General features: G+C 45.6%; 1 long non-coding RNA gene and 1 pseudogene across 1 annotated transcript; one reads left to right on the top strand and one right to left on the bottom strand.

Annotated features, from left to right (window-relative positions):
• Positions 1-1666: 1666 nt before the first annotated feature.
• DSCR10 (Down syndrome critical region 10) lies at positions 1667-4155 on the bottom strand. The gene is made up of 3 exons (NR_027695.1): positions 3951-4155; positions 3695-3839; positions 1667-2176 (listed from the first exon to the last, which is right to left on the bottom strand). It is a non-coding gene; the product is annotated as a Down syndrome critical region 10 (long non-coding RNA).
• On the top strand, positions 4705-5767 carry LOC100288590 (cutaneous T cell lymphoma-associated antigen 1 pseudogene; annotated as a pseudogene).

Genomic DNA, 6665 nt, shown 5'->3' with positions numbered 1-6665 from the left:
GACTGCAGGAGGAACAGAAGGATTGAAGGACTTGATTGGAGAAGGACATCCACAAGTAATACGTTCTCCATATTCCCTGAAATGTCCTGGAGGACACTCTCAGACATAGGTAGACTCAAGGAAGTTAGAACTTGAAGATGTTTTATGATGGTTTTACCTGCTGTGTTTTCACATTAAGTACCCCACCAGAAAATGAGAAGAGACCTACCATGAGCCATACATAGCTTGACCACAATGTCAGGAAGGGATCATGGTTGAAGAATTTTAGCAACTCTTTGTTTTGAAATAAGTTGAAGTTATTAAACCCACTGACACTAAATTTTGACATTTCCTGACCAGAATGCAATGATCAAAACTGGAATTTAACAGTGACACAATCCTTACCTAATCCATTGTCCATATTTAAATTTTGTGAGTCTTCCAAATAATTTCATCTGTAACTAGTTTTCTTCTGGTCCAGGGTAGAATCCAGCATCATGTATTGCATTTGGCTCTCCCATCCCCTGGGTCTCCTTAATTCCAAAATAATTATTCAGCCTTTTCTACGTTTTATTGACCTTTATAGTTTTGAAGAATATGGGCTGTTACCTTGTGGTATGCCCTTCAACTTGGGGTTCTCAGCTATTTCTTCATGGTTAGATTCAGGTTATGCATTATTGGCAGAAAATCATAGAAATAATGTTGTGTTCTTTTCAGTGCATCATATCAGGAGGTACATGATGTCAGCTTGTCCTAATATTTTTATGTTAACTTTTATCATTTTATCATTTGATTAAAAGGGTGTTCACTCTGTATCTCCCTGTTAAATTACTATGTTCCTCTATGCTTAGAAATCTAGAAGAAATTTCCCATCATGTGCAGAAATACGAACTACACACAGCAGATTTTCAACTTCTACAAGAAGATGGCAGAAGACATGAACAATGAATTGGAAAGAATCACTTCCTTTTACCAAAAGGAGATTCTCTTCTATGAGGAAGAGCTCAAGAAAGCTGGGCAGCAGTTCTGCTGACTGAGATAAAGCTCCATGAGCTAAAACAACAAAATGATGGCAACAGGCAAATCATGGCTGATGTGGAGTTCAAGTTCCAGCCTTTCCCAAGCAGCCCCTTTGCTCCTGCTGCTCCAGGCGCAGCTCACAGAGGAGTGGAAGTACTAGGGGCCCCCTGGGTCATCAGGTTCCCAGCAAGGAAGAGGCAGGTGCTGTGAGGCTCAGGGATCCAGGGGTACCTGCAGGTTTCACTCAGAGTTTATGATTTGTTTGTTTTCGTCCTTAAAAGTAATTTTCATTTATCTTCTAGTTAAGCTACTGTTATTTAATTGATGTGCAATTTCTCTTTCTGAAGTTTTATAGTACTATAATTTCTAAAATTGTATTTTTAAATATACATTTATTTAAAATAGCTCTTATGAATACATTATTTCAAAATCATTGGACCCTCTAAAATTATATGCATAAGTATTATATTTTGATTTAAATAACAGGTCCACTATGATTTAAACTGTCATCAAAATTGGACATGAATAGAAACATGGAAAACAATAAAGTTCACTTCTGTAAGCTATTATTATAAATCTGTACAAATAATGTAATATTTAGCTGAATAAATTTTGACTGGTTTTTAAAAAACAATGCCAAAAAATACTAGACAACAACAACACACCATTGAAACTTCATACTATTTTTATTAGATTAGTTCTAAGTTCAATTTAAGACAAATTTAGAGGAGTTGAAATTTTACAACAGTTTGTTTCTTGTCTTGTTTTTTTGAACCTTTGATGTTTTTTAAAAGATATTGTTTGTTCTCTAAATGTTTCCAAATGTTAGCAGCCAAAATAAAGGTTTTCCTTCGATGGCAAACCCACACACACATATTCTCACACAGGCATACACACGGGGACAGCTTGAAGGTGACACACAGTGACACGGGAGCATGGCTCTGCACAGAAAGGGATCCCATAACCAGACTCAGCAGAGAACACCCTGACAGGAAGCGGAGGGTGTGCTGACTGTGAAGAGCTGAGGCAGAGGCTGGTGCAGGGGTACGGTGTTTCTGTCTGGAGCCCAGGAAGCAGGAAGGAGCAGGTCCACATCAGGGCACACAGGGGTGCATCCGCAGGGAACCCCTGCACAATCTGCATGTTAACCCCAACTTGGGTCCATGTGAGCTGTCTGCTAAAAAGGTATGAATTGCATACACAGTACTTGTATTAACAAAATCAAAAATATTTAAAGTACATATAAGAAAAGACAACATGGAAGAAGAGAGAGCAGAGTACAGGACAGAGGGAAGGAGGTGGAGAGGAGGGGAGGAAAGAAGAGGAGAGAGGAGTGGAGGAGGAGAGAGGAGGGGAGGGCAGAGGGGAGGGGAGAGGAGAGGGGAAGAGAGGAGGGGAGGAGGGGAGAGGGGAGAGTAGAGAGGAGGGGAGGAGGGGAGGAGGGAAGAAGAGGGGAGGAGGGGAGAGGAGGGGAGAGGAGGGAAGAGGAGAGGGGGGAGAGGGGATGGGGAGAGGAGGGGAGGAGTGGAGGGAAGAAGAGGGGAGGAGGGAAGAGGAGAGGAGGGGAGGAAGGGAGAGAAGGGGAGAGAAGGAGGAGGAGGGGAAAGGAGGGGAGAGGAGGGGAGAGAAGGGGAGACGAGGGGAAAGGAGGCAAAAAGGGAAGGAGGGAGGAGGAGAGGAAGGTAGGAGTGGGGAGGGGAGGGAGGAAGGGAGGAGAGGAGAAAAGAGGAGGGGAGAGGAGAGAAGAGGGGAGGCGAGAAGGGAAGGGAGGAGATGAGAAGAGAGAGAAGGGAAGAAGAGAGGAGAGAGGAGGAAAGAGGAGAGAAGTGGAGAGGAGAAGCCAGGAGAGGGGAGTAGAGGGGAGAGGAAGGGAGAGGAGAAGGGAGAAGGGAGGAGAAGGGAGATGCGAGAAGCTCAGGGAGCAGCTCCTCTTTGCTTCTTCAAATTCTGCTTTCAAAGGAGGGAGTGAGTACGTGTCCTTTGAGATTTTTGTGGATTCCTCTCTACATGTGTGCTTTTGCATCTTCCTATTTCACTCAGCAAAATATCCTGGATCTTCCTCGGGTCCCTGGTTGTAACTCTGTTTCACTCATTTTAGTGCCAGGTTGGTGTTCTAGGCATTACTGTCGTTTCTTCAACACATTTTGATCCTTTTAAAAGACCAACCAGTTGCCCTTGCAGAGTTGGGGTCCTGCGGCCCTGCAAGGGATCTGACTTCTCCTGGGAGGGCCACTTCCACTGCCCCTCTATGTCCTGTGAGGGTCTGGAACCCCAACACCCTTAGGACCCCAGACTGGCCCCAGCTGCCAGTTCGCTCGCTTCTCTCTCAGATCGAGATTCTGAGACTAATTGCTCCCGGCAGAGTCCAGGGCTGCACGAGGAGGCTCTGAGCCTGACTCTGCCGGGGAAGAGGTTTAGTGGAATCCAGGCTGAGAAGGACCTGCCCCTCTGCAGATGCATGCAGACTTCTGAAGATGACTCAGTGGATTGGAGACTGTCCCCAGGGCCACCTTGGGAGGCATGTACCAAAGATAGCAGGGCCACACAAGGGAAAGAGCCAGGGTCAACCTGACACCCTCGAAGCAGAGTCCCGCTCACTCAGGACACTTGGATGGAACAGGGACAAACCTGCTTTACAGAATAGCCGTGACATTTTAGACCCCGTCAGTTCCACTTATTTCTCCTGGGTTCTTACATTGCAAATCCAGGTCTCTCAGCTTGTACCTTTGGGGAGACCTTTCAGTCCTCTCCCCATCTCCCTCTCCGTTGACTAAACCCAAAGGAGAGAGGGGGCCTCAGAGGAGGATCCCTGGGACCTTGGTGGGCAGGACCCAGCTTCCCTGTGCGGAAGGAAACTTGAAATCAGGAAACTGAGCCTCACCCAGGGATGGGCCCCACCACTGTCCCCTGAGAGGCCCTTGTGGACAGGAAGGGACAGGGCATGGACCCACTTGGACCCTCTGGTTTGCTGTGGGGCCAGCTGGGCCTGGTGTGGCCGAGCTCCACCGTGTCATCAGCCATTTCCAGGTCCCTCATGGCCTGGGCGGAGACTATCACCTCTCTCTGCACAGTTAGCAGAACAAAGTCAGGGATGCTGTTTCTACAACCTGGCTGGCTCCCCTCCCCCAGCACAACTGATCTTCTATCCTGGTTGCCAGGCACTTGTGAGCATTAGAGACAGAACACTCCGCAGGGTTCCGAGTAGGCAGCTGTGGCCCACAGGCCACTGGCAAGCAAAGGCAGAGCCACAGAGGGGCTGCTGGTCCCCAAATGTCTCTCCAGCTGCTCTGGAGCTGCTGGGGCTACAGAGCTGGTGAAGGCTGAGATCATGAGATAAACCCCAGGGCTCCCTGGGAGATCCTGGTTTGTACTGCTGTGTGGTCTTAATTATTAAGAAACAAGGCACTTTATGAAGAGGAAAAGAGCTGAACAAAAGGTGTTCTCTTCAGGAGGTCCATGTAGAAGGCAGGCAGAACACTGGGCTAAAGACACAGACCCAGGAAGCCCTCAAGTTGCCACAGACCTTAAATATTACAATCCCCCTGCTTGTCAATCATTAATACAAATCTGAGCAGGTCTTCCCTGCAGGACACAGGCGGCTTTCTGGAAAAAGCATGGAAAAGTGAGTCTCCTAAATGTTCTCAAGTGACTGATTCAGGACACATCTTAAAAGGATCAAAGAAGGATGGAGAAAAACTTCAGAAGGAAATAACAGTTTGAATGAAAACACTCATTTAGCAGAAAGTCCAGAAGTGCTCGACCAAGAAATTGCAAGATGGAAGCAGACAGTACAGGAAAGGAAGGAGAGAAAGAAAAGCTGGAAACCTTTGAATGCACAAATAAAACAGGTCATGAAAGATACCATGAGCCAATTAAAATCTATGGCTGAAAACCTGCTGGACACCATGCAGTTGGGAGATTTCTCTAGGGACCACAGTGACGAGGACTCGAAAGTACAGCTAAAGAGGAAAGCAGAAAATGAAGACTGCCTGCCCCAGCCCCTCCCGCCCAACTATCAGTCAGAAGGCCATCTGAAGAGCGTCCTGGGTGATGGTGACTTAAATGTGTTCTGTGAAAGTCAAGAAAAATCAAGAAATAGCTTGACAATTGTGGGAAAAAAAATCAATGAATGAAGAGCTCACAGGACAAATCAAACATCTCCAAACTGAGAAAGCGTCTTTGCAGTTTGAAAATTCCCAACTTGCAGGTGGGATCCAGAACCTGCAGCTGAAGCTTCAAATCCTACCTGAATCACATCAAGAACACATAGCGCAACTTCAGAGAAGATCACCTGCGGTGGAAACACACAGGTTAGAAATGAAGAAGAAACTTCTGAGCGTGTGTAGAAATGTGAATACACACAGCAGATTCACAGCCTCTACAAGGAGATGGCTGAAAATATCAGCAAAGAATTGGAAAGAATCACTTCCTTCTATCAGAAGGAGATTCTTGCCTGTGTGGAAAGAGCTCAGGAAAGCTGGAGGGCAGTTCTGTCCACTGAGAGAAAGCTCCGGGAGCTAAGAAAAGAAGATGATTGCAGTAGGCAGATCCTGGCTGACATGGAGTTCAAGTTCCTGCCTTTTACTAGGGGTTCTTTGCTCCTGCTGCTTCAGGTACAGCCAACAGAGGCCCACAAGGACCAGGGGTCCCCTGAGTCATCAGGTTCCCAGCAAGGAGAAGTGAGGTGCTGTGAGGCTTAGGGATTCAGGGCCAGCAGGTTTCACTCAGCTCTCCCAGCAGCAGGGCCCTCAACACCCACAGTCACAGTGAGACACAGCAGCCTGGGCTATCTCTTTAAAGTTATCTTGATTTATCTCTTTTTAGTTTAGCTACTGTTATTTAGCTGCTCTTATTCAAATAGATATAGCATTATAATTTCTGTTTCTGTTTTTCAAGGAAAATTTTATTTCATTCAATTCTTATGACTTTTATTTCCATGTCTTTGGACCCCCCCTAGAATTATATAGTATAAATATTGTGTTTTAATTTAAAGGAAAGATTCACTATTACTGAAGCCATAATTGAAGTTTAACACAGAGATATCTGAAGCAATAAAGGCCATTTTCTGTATGCTATGAACTGTTATTAGAAATTTGCATAAGTAACTTAATATTTACCTGAAGAAATTTCGACTGGTTTTATACAACAATAAAAAATCTTCAACAAAACCACCACTCAAACTTTTAAAATTTGTTTTATGAATTTAGCCCTCGATTCATAGATTTATTTACAGGAGCTGACATTTTGCAATAATTTGTTTTCTGTTTTATCATTTTTAAAACCTTTGTTATCGGGGAGATCATGGTGGACGGGAGACAGGACTAGATTGCAGCTCCCACTCGGATGGACAGAGCAGCCTGTGGAGGCTTGAATTGTGAACTTTTGCTCCACAATGACCGCAGGAATACATTAGGAAAGCCAAGAGAACCCACAGAACCTCTGAAGAAAACAAATTGCTCCTGCAGGACCCAGGAGACACCCCAAATACTGTGAGTGCCCAAACTGTGGAAGTGAAAAAGGGAGATCGTCCACCCCCAAACACAGACCCCCACTGGGGAGCCTGAAGGTCTAGATTATGGGAGAAGATTCTGACCTTACCTGGAGGTGAGTCAATTTAGGCAGCCAAGCGAAATACAGGGGTAGAGGAAGCAGCAGGAAAAGCTCTG

Source organism: Homo sapiens, chromosome 21 (genome assembly GCF_000001405.40).
Source record: "Homo sapiens chromosome 21, GRCh38.p14 Primary Assembly".
Classification (NCBI taxonomy): domain Eukaryota; kingdom Metazoa; phylum Chordata; class Mammalia; order Primates; family Hominidae; genus Homo; species Homo sapiens.
The sequence above is the reverse complement of the archived record's forward strand: the minus strand, read 5'-3'. Positions and strand labels throughout refer to the sequence as shown.